The 17,631-nt window shown below is 46.9% G+C and overlaps 1 protein-coding gene and 1 non-coding gene across 3 annotated transcripts in view, besides 1 other annotated feature; one reads left to right on the top strand and one right to left on the bottom strand.

Annotated features, from left to right (window-relative positions):
- UBASH3B (ubiquitin associated and SH3 domain containing B) overlaps nucleotides 1–17,631 on the bottom strand; it is a 158,752-nt gene that overhangs the window by 82,763 nt on the left and 58,358 nt on the right. The gene's annotated exons all lie outside the window — the stretch shown is intronic.
- Nucleotides 4,158–4,217: an enhancer, noted in NCBI's record as "active region_5667". NCBI's record gives its function as "activates an Ori minimal core promoter by ATAC-STARR-seq in GM12878 lymphoblastoid cells {active_cell/tissue: GM12878}" and the evidence as "EXISTENCE:reporter gene assay evidence [ECO:0000049][PMID:35858748]".
- On the top strand, nucleotides 5,400–5,503 carry LOC124902828 (small nucleolar RNA U13). The gene has a single exon (XR_007063013.1). It is a non-coding gene; the product is annotated as a small nucleolar RNA U13 (small nucleolar RNA).

Genomic DNA, 17,631 nt, shown 5'->3' with positions numbered 1-17,631 from the left:
CAACTCACAAGTTTCCAATTGTGTGACGTTCTGGGTAGCATGATAAAATCTTGAGCCATCCAACTCCATTCCACTAGGGACATGAATCATCCCTTTGTCTAGTCTGGATACAGGCTGTGGATGCAGTAGTGAATCCACACTGTTTGCACTCTCCGCCTGTTAGTCACTTAGTTATCTAGTGACTAGATATCTAGGTTATCAGACCAACTGTCCCAGTATTGCAGTGCTTATGTTCACATGACCATTATTTTACTTTATAATGGCCCCAAAATGCAAGAGTAGTGAGGCTGGCAATTTGGATATCCCCAAAGAGAAGACGTAAAGTTCTCCATTTAAGTGAAAAGGTGAAAGTTCTCAACTTAATAATGAAAGAAAAAAAATTGCATGCCAAAGTCACCCAGGTCTACAGTAAAAACTCATCTTCCATCCATGAGATTGTGAAGAAGGAAGAAGAAATTTGTGCTGGTTTTGCTGCCACACCTCAAACTGCAAAAGTTATAGCCATAGTGCATGATAATTGCTTAGTTAGGATGGAAAAGGTGTTAAATTTGTGGGTGGAAGACATGACCTGAAACAGAATCCGATTGGCACAATTGGGTCTGGTGCTCTCTGCGCTTTCAGGCATCCACTGGGAGTCTTGAGTATCCCCAAGGATAAGGAGGGGCCACTGTAATAGGAAAATCACACTGTAGAGACTATGGGGATTGCAGACATGGCAGAACCTTTAGGGGGCAGAAGTAGTGAAGGTTCCACTGTCAGGGAGGGAAATGAAAGACAGCAAGACAAGGACAGAAGGTGAATAAGAATCCAAATATTGGCCAGGAGCGGTGGCCCATGCCTGTAATCCCAGGACTTTGGGAGGCCGAGGCGGGCGGATCACCTGAGGTCGGGAGTTCAAGACCAGTCTGACCAACATAGAGAAATCCCGCCTCTACTAAAAATACAAAATGAGCCGGGCGTGGTGGCACATGCCTGTAATCCCAGCTACTAGGGAGGCTGAGGCAGGAGAATCACTTGAACCTGGGAGGCAGAGGTTGCAATGAGCCGAGATCGTGCCATTGCACTCCAGCCTGGGCAACAAGAGCAAAACTCTGTCTCAATTAAAAAAAAAAAAAAAAAGAATCCAAATATTTGCATCACAGCGGGCTGAGAAGGCAAGCTCAGTTGTGCAGCGATGTGCAGTGCTGGCCCTACACCTCTGTGAGGGGGTTTGGCTTAGGATAGGCCTCTCTGGGTGTCTGAGGAGGCTGACCTGAAACAGAGATGGTCTGGCAACATGAATGGAAAATACCAAGGATGGCATGGAGTTCACGTTGGCCACTGTGCCCGGCCAAGTCCTTGGGTCTCTTAGGGGACACATGGAAAGGCGGGAACCTCCCCACAATGTGAGTGCAATTGTTCAAGGACCCGTGTGATGTCACCCACACCCTGTCATGTCTGTGGAAGCCACTTCTTCCACAGCCACCAAGCCATCTCGGCTCACTGCAAACTCCACCTCCTGGGTTCAGGCAATTCTTCTGCCTCAGCCTCCCAGGTAGCTGGGATTACAGGCGCACACCATCATGCCCAACTAATTTTTGTATTTTCAGTAGAGATGGAGTTTTGCCATGTTGGCCAGGCTGGTTTTGAACTCCTGGCTTCAAGTGATCCACCTGCCTCGGCCTCCAAAGTGCTAGGATTACAGGTGTGAGCCACTGCACCTGGCCTTTTTTTTTTTTTTTTTTTTTTTTTTTTTAGATAGGGTCTCACTCTGTCACCCAGGCTGGAGTGCAGGCATGATCATGGCTCACTGCAGCCTCGAACTCCCATGCCCAACTGATCCTCCCAGCTCAGCTTCCCAAGAAGCTGGGACCTCAGGTACGAAGCTAACTGCCTGGGTAACTTTTTAGGGTTTTTTTTTTTTTTTTTTTTTTTTGTAGAGATAGGGTCTTGCTATGTTGCCAGGCTGGTTTCAAACTCCTGGGCTCAAGCGATCCTCCCACCTGGGCCTCCCAACGTGTTAGGATTACAGGCATGAGCCACTGTGCCCAGCCTGGAACATTTTAAAGCAAATCCCAGGTATTATATCATTTTACTCCAAAATACTCATAAAGATTTATTTACCCTAGAGTATTTTAAAACAACCCAGACATTAGCATGCATCTCTGATAAGAACTGTTTTATCTTTAACATAATCACTTGCCTTTATCATATCTAACATTTATAATCATTCTTTAATATCACTGAATATCAAATCCACATTCATTTTCCCCTGATGGTCTCAAAAATGTCTTTTTCCAATCAGTTTGTTTGAATCAGGGCCAATGAAGGTCCTGACTTCAGCAGGATGGAAAGCCCCAGTGTGTGGCTCAGGCACCAGGGCCTCTCACACCCCTTCCCCTCAACAAGAACCGCGTGGCATCTCAGCTGAACTGGGCCACAAGACCAAAAGTGACAAGGCTTCATCTTCTGGGCTTTCTGGCCTCTGGAGAAATAAGTCTCAGTGGGAACTGCAGGGAGCTGGCCCCTGTGGCGTTGGAGTACTCACTCCGCAGTCCTAGTCAGAGAGCCACTGTCCAGAGCCTCCCAGTCCTCCCAGGATTTAGGTCACTGAGCCACAGTAGACCTGCAATGAAAGTGGGTTCCTGCTCTCTCTGGTACTCCCTCTACTTTTCATGATTTGATCTTTCTAGTTAAAGGCCAAAGACAAGCTGCATGGGGTGATAGAGCCGAAAGCAGGGACGGCAGGCTGAGCACTCTCTGTCCCCGTCTGACCGGGTGGCCTTGAGCAAGTCTCTGACCAATCAGTTTCTTTACTTCCAAAGTGAGAGGGAGGGATTTAACAATCCCTAAGACCCTCTAGCTCTGACATTTTATGACTCTAAGCTCAAAAGCCACCAAATGACTTTGTTTCTGCCCCTGTGCTAGATGTTAGAAGTACACAGATGTCTCTCTTCTTAGATGATAAACTGTTTAAGGGGAGGGGCTCTATCAGATTTTGTCATCACCAGACTCCAGCACAGTGCAAAGCGCATTCTAGGCACTCAACAAATGTTGCTGAATGGGGTACCCAATCCAACAACCAATTCTTGAGCATCTACAGTGAGCCAAACACCATGTTAGGCTGGGGAATCACAAAGATCTCCCTGGGGAGGCTAATATTTAAATAGGGAGATGTTCAATGGAGAAGAAAAGTTTGATAATTATAAGAGAAGTAGCTATGGGTCTTAACAGCTCAGACCTAAGATAAAGAAATTGGGCTGGTGGCCCCCATCTATGAGCTTCCTGCTCCTCAAATTTTACCCTGTCAGCTACGCTTAATTCCCAATCCCCCGACCTGCTTCAACAGGAACACCATAAAGAGTGGTCCTAGGACAAAGAAAAGGCAGAAGGATGTCTGTGCCAACTTGCAAAAAGGAGTATCTCCCAAGTAGCATCCGGAATTCTTTCCAGGGTCAGCCTAGGGAAGCCCACAGAAATGACGTGGACGGCTAAATATTCCCCATGTAAACTCAACGACTCTGCATCCTCATGGAGGACAGGCATGTAGATCCTCCCAGAACAACTGCATAGTTTCACCTCAAGATGGGCTAAGGCCGGGTGTGGTAGCTCACGCCTGTAATACCAGCACCTTGGGAAGCTGAGGCAGGAAGACTGCTTGAGCCCCGTAGTTTGAGACCAGCCTGGGCAACACAGGAGACCTCATCTCTAAAAATAATAATAATAATAATAATGATAAGATGGGCTAAAACTACAGGGCAGGAGAAGGTCCCCAGTGAGGTGGACTTCCTCTAGGTAAGGAGCCTTCAGGATAGGGACTGGGCCACTGCTGCCATCTGGCCCAGCTGTGCGGGGAGGGTGAAATGACTGTTCAAAGTCTCTTTGGGTCTTTGGGTGGAAACAAGGATTTCTTGAATTCACGAAGCTGGCAAGGCTTTGAATCACAGCCCAGAACTGAGTTCCGCATTGCCAAGTCCACGTCTGAGAGAAAACAGCCTTATGCTCTACCTAAGAAACCAGATAAACACACTGCCTCAAGAAAAGACTTCCAGGAAGCGTCCCAGCAAAACAAAACCAAATCCCTTTCAAAACAGTGACCAGGTCCCGTGGTGTCAAGACGATAGCCTCGCTGTCCTTGTCTCCTGGTGCCCATCTCGGAGGCCTCCACGGGGCTTGCTGGGCCTGGTGCTTCACTCCCTACGTGGGGACAGGCGGGCCCTGGAGAAGATGTCATTAAAGTGTAATTTTAGAAGTGAAGGCATCTTGGGGATCATCTAGTTTCGCCCCTCCCTCAATTGATAGACAACTTCCTTCCTCTGAGCCTCTCCTGCGACCCTTAGAGAACGCAGGAAATTCACCACAGTAAGCAAAGACATGATGTCTTTATGACCAGGAGTTTGCAATTCTAGCTAATTACAGCCAACACTGGCTCGCTGCTGCGCTATGATTTGGAGTCTTAAAGCTTCTGTGTGGCTCAGCACTTGTGGTGGAAGAAAAAAGAAAAACGAAAGAACTCTGCAACAGAAACTGGGGGAGCACTTGCAGGCACATGTGTGCAGCAGGAGTCCCCGGCAGGACGCGGCTTAAAATCAGACACACATGGCCTGGCCAGAAACTGGGGCTGCTAATTAAGGCTCAGAAGTTTTGAAAGGAAGAGCTGGAGGGGAGGAAAAAAACCCAGCAACTTGTTAACAATTAGCAATCGGAATCCTTTTTTAAAAATAAGTCCTGGGACCCGTGGACAAGAGGGAAGTATTTTGCTGAGAAACCATCAAAACAGCACTACTCTGAGCATCCCTTCTGCCAGAAAGCTCAAAACGGTTGATCAATGTGAAATTACTTATTACTTTCCCACATGGGAGTCAGGGCGGACAATATTGTCCCTCATTTACATAACAGGGAGACAAAGTCACAGCAAAGCTTCTGCTTCCCTTTATTTCACTCTGGAAGGAATAACTGGACTAGCTAGAAATCCCTTAGCAAATATGACTTTGATTTTTCAAAGACCTTGTTGATACATCCTACAAGTGAAAGGGAAAACAGGAAGAATCTATGATCCCATTTGCTCATAGTTGCATAAAGAAATGTTGGTGCTGGGCACAGTGGCTCATGCCAGCAACTTTGGGAGGATGAGGTGAACAGATCACTTGAGGTCAGGAGTGCGAGACCAGCCTGGCCAACATGTGAAACCCCGTCTCTACTAAAAATACAAAAATTAGCCGGGCATGGTAGCAGACACCTGTAATCCCAGCTACTCGGGAGGCTGAGGCAGGAAAATTGCTTGAATCCGGGAGGCGGAGGCTGCAGTATGCCAAGATCGCGCCACTGCACTCTAGCCTGGGTGATAAAGCAAGAACTCAGTCTCAAAAAAAAAAAAAAAAAGAAGAAGAAGAAAGAAAAGAAATAAATGCCGAAAGGTGATCTTTTTATAGTTCATAAGCGTAATGACTGGGTGTTCACGTGCGTGTTTGAGATGTGCCACCCTCGAACCTTGTTACGATGTCGGTATATTACCCATCTGACATGAAAAGAAAAAAAAGAAATGCTAGAAGGATACCCAAGAAACAAATAAGAGTGGTTTCTTCTGGCAGGTGTGGAGACAACAGGGTGGATGAGCACAGAGGGAAGGGCAAACTTGTGTGTAAACCTTCCTATCATTTTGTTCTTTGAACCATGAGCATGTTTCCTATTAAATAATAAAATTAAGTGCAAATATATTCTATAGAAAAATGAAACAAGGGGCCGGGTGCAGTGGCTCACGCCTGTAATCTCAGCACTTTGGGAGGCTGAGGTGGGTGGATCATGAGGTCAGGAGTTTGAGACCAGCCTCGCCAACATGGTAAAACCCTGTCTCTACTAAAGATAGAAAAAATTGGCCGGCGTGGTGGTGCACACCTATAATCCCTGCTACTCAGGAGGCTGAGGCAGGAGAATCGCTTGAACCCGGGAGGCGGAGGTTGCAGTGAGCCAAGATTGAGCCACTGCACTCCAGCCTGGGCGACAGGGTGAGACTCTGTCTCAAAAAAATAAAAATAAAAATAGAAAAGAAAAATGAAACAAGCAATGGAGCCCCACTTTTCCTCCTGAGTAGGCTACATTTGCAGGAAATCCAGTACAGCATGCTCCTCCAACACTGTCTAAAGATGAGCTATGGAGAGGGAGTATAATGTCGCTACTGCACCTACAGAACGATGGGGAGACCAGACACCGGAAGGGCTCTTCTCCAGGGTACCCTGAATGTCGTGGGCTGAATCAGCACCACATTTTCCAAACCCTTGCCTCCTGACCACGGTTAAGGTTGGGCCCTCTCTGAAATGGTAGATACCTTGCACTCACATTTAACAAGGGCGAGGTACTCAAGTCATTGAGTTTGTTTCTTTTCTTTTCTTTTTTTTTTTTTTTTGTTTATGGTGCTATGCTCATCACAGCAACTAGAGTGATTTTATTAAAATCCAAATTTGAGGCCGGGCACGGTGGCTCACACCTGTAATCCCAGCACTTTGGGAGGCCGAGGTGGATGGATCACCTGAGGTCAGGAATTCCAGACCAGCCTGGCCAACATGGTGAAACCCTGTCTCTAGTAAAATTACAAAAATTAGCTGGGCATGGTGACGGGTGCCTGTAATCCTGGCTACTCGAGAGGCTGAGGCAGGAGAATTGATTGAATCGGGGGGTGGGGGTTAGGGGGTGGTGGGAGGTTGCAGTGAGCTGAGATCGTGCTACTGCACTCCAGCCTGGGGGAAAGAGCAAGACTCTGTCTCAAAAATAAATAAATAAATAAATAAAATAACATACAAATTTGAGCCTGTTCTTCGAACACTCCCAGTGAGTCCCAAGTGCCTTTCCTCCAGGCAAAGTCCTCATCCCTTGGCATGGGGCTTATGAGTCTTAGGATCTTAGGATGCCGCTCACTGGACTCTCCACTTCACCTCCCACTTCCTTTTCATGCAGCACATTCCCCACTTTCTGTCATTTCCTGCACATGCTGGAGTTGTCATGCCTCTGTGGCCCTGTGTGTGCTGTTGCCTCTCTCTGGAATGCCGTTCCCCTTTCCCCCATCTGGTGAATTGCTAATGACATTTTAAGATCAAATGCTACTACCTCCTCTAAGAAGCCAGTTCAGGCCTGGCCCAGCCCATCCATGGCACACAGCTGGCCGCTCCTCTGTGTCCCCGCAGTCCTCTGATTTTTCCTCTATTACAGCGTTCCCTATGTCAACAGCAACTTTACATGGCAGTGGTCTGTTTTCATGCCTGTCTCCCAGCAAACTGTGAACTCCTGCAAGGTGGGCCCCTGGTGGTTGCCTCTATGCCCTCTATGCCACAGTGGTGGACCCAGAACATGATGTTTGTCAAACAACAGTGAAGTTAGCACTTATGCCGCAACTTCTACATGCCTGCCCCGATTCTAAGCACTCCACACATAATAATTCATCTGCTCCTCGCCAAAACCTGAAGAAGTAGGTACCAGTGTCATCATGATCTTACCGATGAGTACACCGAGGCACAGTGACAATTACAAAGCTAGTAAGTGGCAAAGCCAGATATGGAATCCAGGAAGTCTGCCTCCAGAGCTTAGGCTCTTAACTCTATGTAATAATATCTATCAATAGATGAATGAACGAAATAACCAGAAATCAAACTCCCATTCCTAAGGCAAAGGTCCTCCAGGTTCCAATTTCTAAAATCCCAAGAATAGCTGCCACACTGGGAATCTGGGATGAGGGGACCACCCACCAAAGTCCACATAAGCATTTAAACTCCGGGAGCTCCCAATGACACAGAACCAGCTAGGACAAAAGAGCCCTGCTCTCAAGTTACTTTTACACACTGACATAGCCTCACCCAGAAGCACCAGAAAATCCACTCAAAGTTTCCCATAGCCACCCCCAGGGCCACCCTGCCTCCTTCCTATTACAATGAAACTTGAGATTTTTGAGGTTTCTTCATGATGATCTAGCTCCAAAACACAATGCACATGGAAACAGGAAAGGTTTACCACTAACTCTCTAAGCCACCGGCCCATGGTTTCTACCCGGTGCTCTTTGGGACTCTTTCTTGGAACTGGGCTGAAACATCCCTTGGGCCTGCCTGCCACTGTTGTCTGATGGGCCCAGATAACTGACAAGGATGGATACTTTGAGACACTTGCCTGGGGCCTGCCTTTCCACCACCTTCTCCAAATCTGCTTATTGCTGCTCGCAGGGAAGAACAGATGAATTTGGCCTTTTGCTGGTGAGCAAAGCAGAGTATGAGAAGAAACCAACACCCCTGGGACAACTGATAGATGGGAGAATGCGTCTCCAAGGGAGATCACGTGGAAATGAAATCAGGTTTGGAGACAAAGGCTTTAGGCTGGAGACTTGGCTCTACTATTCACTAACTTAAGGACTTAGGTTATTTACCATATTTGAGTCACATCTGCAAAGGAGGTTAACGGCTTCCTCATGTGTTGTGATGAACAAATGAAATATTATATACAAAAGGGCTTTGTAATCTGAACAGTGGTTTCCAAGCCTGGTTAATTGTCAGAAATGACAAAGGATTTTTTTTTTAATTACAGATTTCTGATCCTCTTAAGCCTACTGAATTAAAATCGCCAGGAGGAGCCCAGGAATCTGTATTTTCAGAAACTTTCTGGGAGCTTCTGAAGCATAACCACAACTCTAAAGCTCTGTGCAAAGGCTGGCAGTATTATAGCCCCATGGCGAAAGAAATACCAGGTCTGGGCCGGGCGCGGTGGCTCACGCCTGTAATCCCAGCACTTTGGGAGGCCGAGATGGGCGGATCATGAGATCAGGAGATCGAGACCATCCTGGCTAACATGGTGAAACCCCGCCTCTACTAAAAATACAAAAAATTAGCCAGGCATGGTTGCGGGCACCTGTAGTCCCAGCTACTCGGGAGTCTGAGGCAGGAGAATGGCATGCACCTGGGAGGCAGAGCTTGCAGTGAGCCGAGATCATGCCACTGCACTCCAGCCGGGGGGACAGAGCGAGACTCCATCTCAAAAAAAAAAAAAGAAATACCAGATCTGAATATTATGCTTAAAGGGTAACCCCCTAGAGCTGTCAGACTTTCATGTGAAGAATTTCTAAGGAATGTAACTTCACTATGGATATTCAGAAAAGAAGCCCAATTTTCTACCAAGCTGGAGCTTAGAGACCAAAGAACTCAGGAAGAGCAGTTTTCTCCTTGGATATCTAGATGGTTCCTTCTGCCACTGAGCACTCTCCTAGACAAAGAACAGTCTCAAAATATCCAGAGACACACAGACATTTCCCGTCTCTCTCAGTATCTGGCAGAAGCAGGAGAACCAGAAAAAAGATGTTGCAAGTTAGAAATGGACCCGTGCAGCAAAAGACAATCTTCAAGTGTTTGAGACCTGTACTTGGGTTCCTGGAGTGCAGGAGAGAACCAGGACACCTATCAGTAATTAGGAGAGGCAGAATGTTTAAGTCAAAGTCTTGCAAGGCGAGGAAGCAAGAGAGCATGAGGGCGGAGCTCTAGGTCCCACTGGGCCATCCACCAAGGGCAGCCTTCAGCTGGTCACTACCCTCCCTGTGCCTCTGTCTTCATCTGTAAAATGTGATACAACTTGTCTACTGCAGGAAGCTTTGTGAGCTTCAAACAAAATAACAGATGCAAAAGGTTGCAGGGCCCTGGGAGAGGGCAAATACCATGTGATGTCTTTATTCTTCAAAAGTATGATGACTAATGCATTATACCACAGATATGAACATTCTCCCAAGAATCAAAAAGTCTGTGTAACTGGTTCATCCAATAAACAGTGTCTTCTATGAATGTCATTCTTTGACTCCTTAAGAAAAAGAAGCCTCTCTCTGCTAAGAGGCATCCCCAAAGAACAGAGTAGCATGTTTCTAAATTTCACCCAATAGCAGTGAAATGCATTAACGGATTTGCCAATGAGCTACTAAGCCTAAGAAGTTATGTTAGGAGACCTGGAAAAGAAGGGTTAAAAGTGAGCAACCTCACTAGGGTAAAAAGGAAAGATCCTGGAAGGCTTTTGGAAACCACTAAGTAACAAATGTAGCTCCCACCTCCCACCCACGCACCACTGGAAATAACTTTAAATAATGCATCTGAGAATGTCTGCAGAACAGGCAGTCTGGATTAAGGACTTTTAAAGGGATGGTGTTTGAACAAGGATTCTTTCAGGGAAACCATCTTGAGAATTACTGAACTCTCAGGCAAGCTCACTCTGACAAATATCCTTAAGCAAGCTTTGAGCTAGAGCTGAAATCCTGGTGTGGTAAATATCATCATACGGGAAAGCAATTTATAGCAAAAAAGATTTAGTGGTCCTCCCAGCCACCACATTCCCACTCCCACCCCCCCGTAGTGCTGTGGAAGATTTGCTTACTCTAAGTGAACAGAATTCCATAAAGAGCTTGGCTGGTCAGTCAGCATCTGTTGTAGAAACTGACCTAGAGTCATTCATTCTTTTTTTTTTTTTTTTTTTTTTTTGAGACACAGTCTTGCTCTGTTGCCCAGACTGGAGTGCAGTGCCGCGATCTTGGCTCACTGCAAACCTCCACCACCGGGTTCAAGCGATTCTCCTGACTCAGCCTCCAGAGTAGCTGGGACTACAGGCACACGCCACCACGCCTGGCTAATTTTTTGTATTTTTGGTAGAGACGGGGTTTCACCGTGTGAGCCGGGATGGTCTCCATCTCCTGACCTTGTGATCTGCCCACCTCGGCCTCCCAAAGTGCTGGGATTACAGGCGTGAGCCACCGCGCCTGGCCGAGTCATTCATTCTTTTAACATCTACTATGTGTCAGACATTTTTCTAGCCTTGGGGATATAGCAGAGAAAAAAAAAATACAAAGATTTTTGACCTCATGCAGTTTATATTCTAGGGGAGAGGACAGTTATAGTAAGCGTTTTGGAAAAAATAAGGCAGGGAAGGGTGGGAAGGGATTCCTATTTTGCATGGAAAGATTAGATAAAGGTAATGAATGAGTCAGGGAGGGAGAGCTCTGTGGATAGCTGTGTGAAGAGCCTTCCTGGAAGAGCAAGCACAAAGGCCCCAGGCAATGGCGTGTGTAGTGTATTCAAGGAACAAAGAATAGACCATGTGGCTTCAGCTGAATGGGCAAGGAGGTACATGCTAGGAAACAGATTCAGAGAGGTAGCAAGGGAACACCCTAGAGACAGGAAGGCTTTAGATTTAACTTTGTAACACAGAGAACGTTGGGGCATTTTGAGCAGTGGAGTGATTCCATCTGCCTTACACTTTGAAAGGATCTCCAACTATTCTGATGAGAAGAGACTACAAGAAAGCAAAAGCCAAAACAGGGAGACCAGTTTGGAGGCAATTGCAATAATACAAGCAAGAGAGAATGCCAGGGATTTGGATCTGTGGAAGCGGCGAAGCTGACAGATTCACTGATGGACTGGATGGAAAAAGTGAGGCGCTAAGGGTGACTCCAAGGCATTAGAATGAACATCTGGAAGAAAGAGTTATCCTGCTTGGAGATGACAAGACTGTGGGAGGACCCATGTTTGAGATGCCTATTTGACATCCATAGGAGATGCTGAGTACGGAGTCTGGAAAATGGGAGAGAGGACTGGGTGGGGGATGTAAGTGCAGGAGTTGTCAGCATATGGATAGTACATAAAGCCAGGAGTTTGGAGACTACTATGGGGGTGAGTTTAGACAAAGGAGAGAAGGGGTCCATGGTTTTCAGCTGAGGGCTCTCCAATATTTACAGGTGAGGAGATGAGGAAGCCAGCCAAGGAGTTGGAGCAGAAGCAGGCACTGCAGTAGGAGGACTAAGAGAGAAGAAACTCCTAGAAGCCAAGGGTCTTTAAGGAAGCATCGAGAGAGGACTGATCGCCTGCATCCAATGCTGCTGATGGAGGATGGAATTGCTCACAATATATGGCACTACTGTGGCCATTAGTGACCTTGATGACAGCAGCTTTGGGGGGCAGTGTGACAGAAGCCTGATTGAAATAAGTTTAAGAGAAAAGAGGAGGATAGGAAGTGGAAACAGCCAGTAGAGACAACTTGTTTGGGAAGTGTTACTGTTCAAGAATCTGATTTAACACTTTAGGTTTTGCAAGAAGAGAAACAGATGAAATGATCTTTCCAGCTACTAAGGCTGATTATTACTACCTTTGCTGGGAGGCTCCTTGACCTATGTGATGGGATACATAGATGCCTGGTTCTGATGAACTCATGATGTGAACCACAGGTTTTTCCCTCTCAGAGACTTATTTTAAGGAGGACGAAGGGGAAAAGACAAGGAGAGAGTAATGAAAGAAAGGGACAAGAAAAATGGTAAGAAAGACTTTTAAAGAGTTTCAAGCCATGTTAAGTTTCCTAAACCATTTCTTTTCCATTGCAAACATCACTAACATAACTCCCAAATTTCCTGGTTAAATTTAGCACAGATGTAAAATTTTGAGCACTGGTGGACATGGGTATCTAAACCAATCATCTGATGAGGAAATTGAAGCTTAGAGAAGGGAATTGACTTCCGGGCACTCCCAATTATTAGCCGCGTGGTCTTAGACAAGTTACTTTTAACCTCAGCGTGTTAGTTAATCCATCTGTAAATTGGCAGTGTAAGAATACCCATCACCAATCTAACGTAATCATGCTTAGATTGTTCGAACAGCAGCTATCACATGGTAATACTCAGTAAGTGTTTTTTATTTATTTTTGAGAGACGGTCTCAATCTGTCGCCCAGGCTGGAGTGCAGTGGATCAATCATGGCTCACTGCAGCCCCAGCCTCCTGAGCTCTGGTGGTCCTCCTGCCTCAACCTCCCAGGTTTCTGGGACTACAGGCATGTAGCAAAATGCCCAGCTAATTTTTTGTATTTTTAGGTGAGACGGTGTTTCACCATGTTGCCCAGGCTGGGTTATTCTTTATTTCTGTTGCCCAAGTCACGTGGAGGAATTGTGTCAGATTGGAGTAAGAAGAGGATGATTCTACCTTATCCCTCCCGCCACAAAACACACACATGCGCTATGAGTTAGCTTTTCATTTCTGACCCTCTAATATCCCTTTTTTGGGGCTCCAATCAAAAAGACTTTTCTTTATTCCATACTATGAATATAAAAAGTACTATAATTGAGGACCTGCTGGGTGCAGTGTTAATTTGCTTTTACATATGTCATCATACTTAATCCTCACACAATCCCTACTATCCCATTTCCCCCCTAAATATCCCATTTGATGGATCAAGAAGCCAGTGTTCAAAGCTTCAATAACTTGCCCAAGGTCACACGGCTGGAGATGGCAGATTCAAACCTGGAGTCTGAGACTCCACATCCTTTCACAAGTCTGCCCAATAATATAACACTAGTACCCAATGCCATGCACTGACTTAGTGACTTGCAAGGAATCTGAGGCGCCAGGGCTCTATGTTAAGTAGTTTTAGAACAAGAAATGCTTCATCCGAAATGTATTTTAAACATTAGACTAGGTAGGTATGCATCCACTTTCTTGGACGTGTTTAAAACTTGGGTGAGGCCGGGCATGGTGGCTCACACCTATAATCCCAGCGCTTTGGGAGGCCAAGGCGGGAGGATCACTTGAGGTTAGGAGCTCGAGGCCTGCCTGGCCAACATGGTGAAACCCCGTCTCTACTACTAAAAATACAAAAATTAGCCAGACTTGGTAGTGGGTGCCTGTAATCCCAGCTACTTGGGAGACTAAGGCAGGAAAATTTCTTGAACCCAGGAGGCGAAGGTTACGGTGAGCCAAGATGGCGCCACTGCACTCCAGTCTGGGTGACAGAGTGAGACTGGTGACAGAGTGAGACTTGTCCGAAAAAAAAAAAAAGAAAGAAAGAAACTTGGGTGAGAAATCCACGTACAGTTGAATTTATTCTCACCAGGCAAGGACTGGCCTAGTGTCATGGGGGGTGGGGGACAGTAGGGGAAGGGAACAGGAAGTCATTTGCTGGTGGTTGACCGGGCCCCCTGTGACTTCTCAGAGTTATAGAACTGCCACCAACAGTCACAGCAGTTCCTGGAGAACAACGAGAAACTTGGGGTCAGCCAGAAGGCACCTGTGGTGATATCACGAGGTACAGCGGTGGAAAATACACACTTTCTAAGGGGCTGTTTCCCCACTTTGCTGAACACAGGGTACCAGAGAAACTAATTATAGCCACTGAGGGCAATTGACATTTACAAGCATCCGTGCTGTGTGCAGTGCTTCTCCCTCTACTGATCTGTGGCCAGAGCCACGCCTAATGCATGTGGTGGAGGCCACAGGATCCAGGCAGCCTGGGTGTGACAAGGACATCCTCCTCCCTACCCCTTCTTACTGCCAGGAAATCTCTCACACTACTGCAGGTCTGCTATATTCTGATGTGATTATCTCCTCGGACTGTGGGGTAGCATCACTTCCTCAGGGGCAGAGAGGGAACCTGGCCCTTCCGCTATCGGTTAGTCCAGGAAGTGGTGGTTCTTAGGACAGGCAATGAGGATTTGGAAGGAAGGCCTTAGGTGGGAGAAGAAGAGAGAATCTCCATGTCTCTGGGCCTTGCTTTCTTATGCTAGTACTCCCAGGAGTCTGGCAAAACTTGAGGACTTTTCTGGGGGCGAGAGGACAGGGATCTCTGTCATACAGTGGTAGCTTTGAGGGAACCCCCTGAGAATGGGCTGGTCCTAAGCATAGTCCTGATCCTGAGCTGCTAGTAAAGTCTTGTTCAGTTTGTTACACCTTGGCCTCGGCTGTGCTATGGGAAATTAAGGCATCAATCTGTGTGACTACTTAGACAGGACGGGAGAAGGGGAGATGAGGCTATAATCATCCTGATTCCATCTAACATCTCCAAATTGTGAGGCTAGAAGAGCCATGACCGACAGCTTCTACCGAGAGAAAAGGCAAGGCTTTTGTCTTTCTCTTCCTTCCAGCAAAGCTTTCTGGGGCTCCCCTCTTTAGCCTGGTCTGCTGTTCAAGATTCAGAAAACTGAACTGGACTCCTTAGACAGGAATTTTACAGAACTGGGTGACATTGTGGTTGCATTACCTGCCTTCAGGTGGAGAAAGGACATGTCTGCAACCCAAACCTCCTTACAGAGCGGGGCAGACTGAAAGCTCTGAGCAAGGTCTCCCACAGGCAACCTTGCCTCAGGAGGTGAAAGGACATCCTGATGTCCCAAGTCTCTGGGTGGACAGCGATTCCCCATGCAAGAGGCCACACAAGGGATATTAGAGGGGCAGAGATGAAAAGCTAACTCACGGCATATGTGTGTGTTTTGTGGAGGGAGGATAAGGTAGAATCATCCTCTTCTTACTACAATCTGACACAATTCCTCCATGTGACTTGGGCAATAGAAATAAAAAATAACCCAGCCTGGGCAACATGGCAAAACACCGTCTCTACTAAAAATACAAAAAAATTAGCTGGGCATTGTGCTACATGCCTGTAGTCCCAGCAAGCTGGGAGGTTGAGGCAGAAGGACCACATGAGCTCAGGAGGCTGGGGCCGCAGTGAGTCATGGATTGAGCCACTGCACTCCAGTCTGGGCAACAGAGTGAGACCCTGTCTCAGAGCTCTCCTCTGCAGCTGAGATCCCCCTTCCTCTCGCAGTTCTCACCAGCCCCAGCTTGCTGCTACTACCGTGCAGTTTTTCTGCCCCCACAGAGGGACACTGCATCACGATCAGGAAATTCCACCTCCTCGTCCTCTCTCCACAGTCCCTGCTGCCTCTAATCCAATACTGGAAAGAGAAAGCTGAAACAGGGACAAAGAAAGGAAGCACTTGAATCTCCTCTGTTTCTGGAGCATTTTCAAATGACAGGAAAATGTAATTTTGACTACAATTCAAGGGGTTGAACACCATGACCCTCTAGTCCTTGGCGGAGGAGTGCTGCCTCTGTCAGCAAATAGTGGCAAAGCCAGGGGACCACGGTGGAGGCTGGAGACCTCTCTCTTTGTGGTTACAGAACCTGGCAATGGCTGGGAAGCCATATGTTGTGTTCTGAGACTCAAGCATAAACTTCTGCTGGATGTTTGGATTTTGGTTTTTTAATTATCCCCTGTTTTGAGAGAGACAAAAGGGGTGTGTGTCTATGTGTGCTTTGAAGGAAGTAGGGGAACAGATGGGTGGAGAGAATAGAAAGAGGAGAGGAGCCGTCATTACTGGGCTTTCGGATCCGTGTTTCTCCAGCAGTTTCTGCTGTGTCTCTTTGGTGACACATTGGGTAAATGGCCCTAAAAGATGATAGCTATGCCAAAGCTACAACAGCCTCAGAGGTTCTATTGATTCAGAAGCTTTCTGGATTGTCTCTGCCGTAGCATATGCACCACCTCATTCTTAACAGACACTGACAGCAGCGCTACAACTGTTTTGAAGGAGGCAACTTTTGATGGCAGCAATGCAAGGTCTGTCCAGACCATGAAGTCCCACCTCAACCGCCAATCAATAATAAGACATGACATCTTAAGTGTTATTTAAATGCTAAGCACTGTGTCAGCATTTAACATTTATCTCGGCTGGGCGCAGTGGCTCATGCCTGTAATCCCAGCACTTTGGGAGGCCGAGGCGGGCGGATCACGAGGTCAGGAGATCGAGACCATCCTGGCTAACACGGTGAAACCCCGTCTCTACTAAAAATACAAAAAATTAGCCGGGTGTGGTAGTGGGCGCCTGTAGTCCCAGCTACGCGGGAGGCTGAGGCAGGAGAATGGCGTGAACCCGGGAGGCGGAGCTTGCAGTGAGCCGAGATCACGCCACTGCACTCCAGCCCGGGCGACAGAGCGAGACTCCATCTCAAAAAACAACAAGAACAACAACAAAAAATTTATTTCATTTAGTCTTCAGAACAACTCTATGACATGGGTACTAAAATTGCACTCACTTTACAGATGAGAGAAGGAGAAGGTAAATACTTTGTACAAGGTTATGCAGATAATGAGTGCATCCCGGGCTCAGACACAGGCTTGCCAGACACCTCTGTTCTTCAACACCATCCTACCCTGCCTTCCCATCATCAGCTGACATTGCTTCACTCTGTGCGAAGATGGAAAGAGGAAGCACATTTCAGGCTTAATTCTCACCATCAGTATCTTCAGTTTTACTGATGAGGAAACTGAGGGTCACAAGTTGTGAAGCAATCTGTCCAAAGTCACACGACCGTGAAGCAGCAGAACCAGGAGTCAGAGCCAGGACTGAGTTCAATCCTTCACTCTCTCCATTTTACCCCGCTGCCTCTGGGCCAAATACCTGGAAAAAGAGGTCTGCCTCTCACTTGCTTCAGGTTTTAAAGTAAAAGCAGAAGAGGAAGTTCAGAAGGTGTTCTTCTTCAGTGTCCCCTAAATATGAGATTTTGAGAAAGGCTTGACCCTAAGGGCCAATAGGTAGCAATTTCAGGAAGGCCGATTTAGAGAGAATTGAATGGCCTTGTAAGGTAGTGAGCTCCCCAAGAATGGAGGAGTTCAAGCGCAGTCTTGATGACTGTGGCAACACTGTAGACAGCAATTGTTGTTTTGGCTGTCCAGTATCTAAGCACTCTTCTTATTTAGGGGAATCCCAATATGAGCGAAGGGGGAGCCCCACTAAAGAAACTGATGGGGCAGATGTTCTGTCTTTCAGCTTCCTGACAGATGATGCCCAGCATATGACTTAGACGAAGGCAATCAACTACTCCCATTAAAGA

This window comes from Homo sapiens, chromosome 11, assembly GCF_000001405.40.
Source record: "Homo sapiens chromosome 11, GRCh38.p14 Primary Assembly".
NCBI classification, from domain to species: Eukaryota; Metazoa; Chordata; class Mammalia; order Primates; family Hominidae; genus Homo; species Homo sapiens.
The sequence above is the reverse complement of the archived record's forward strand: the minus strand, read 5'-3'. Positions and strand labels throughout refer to the sequence as shown.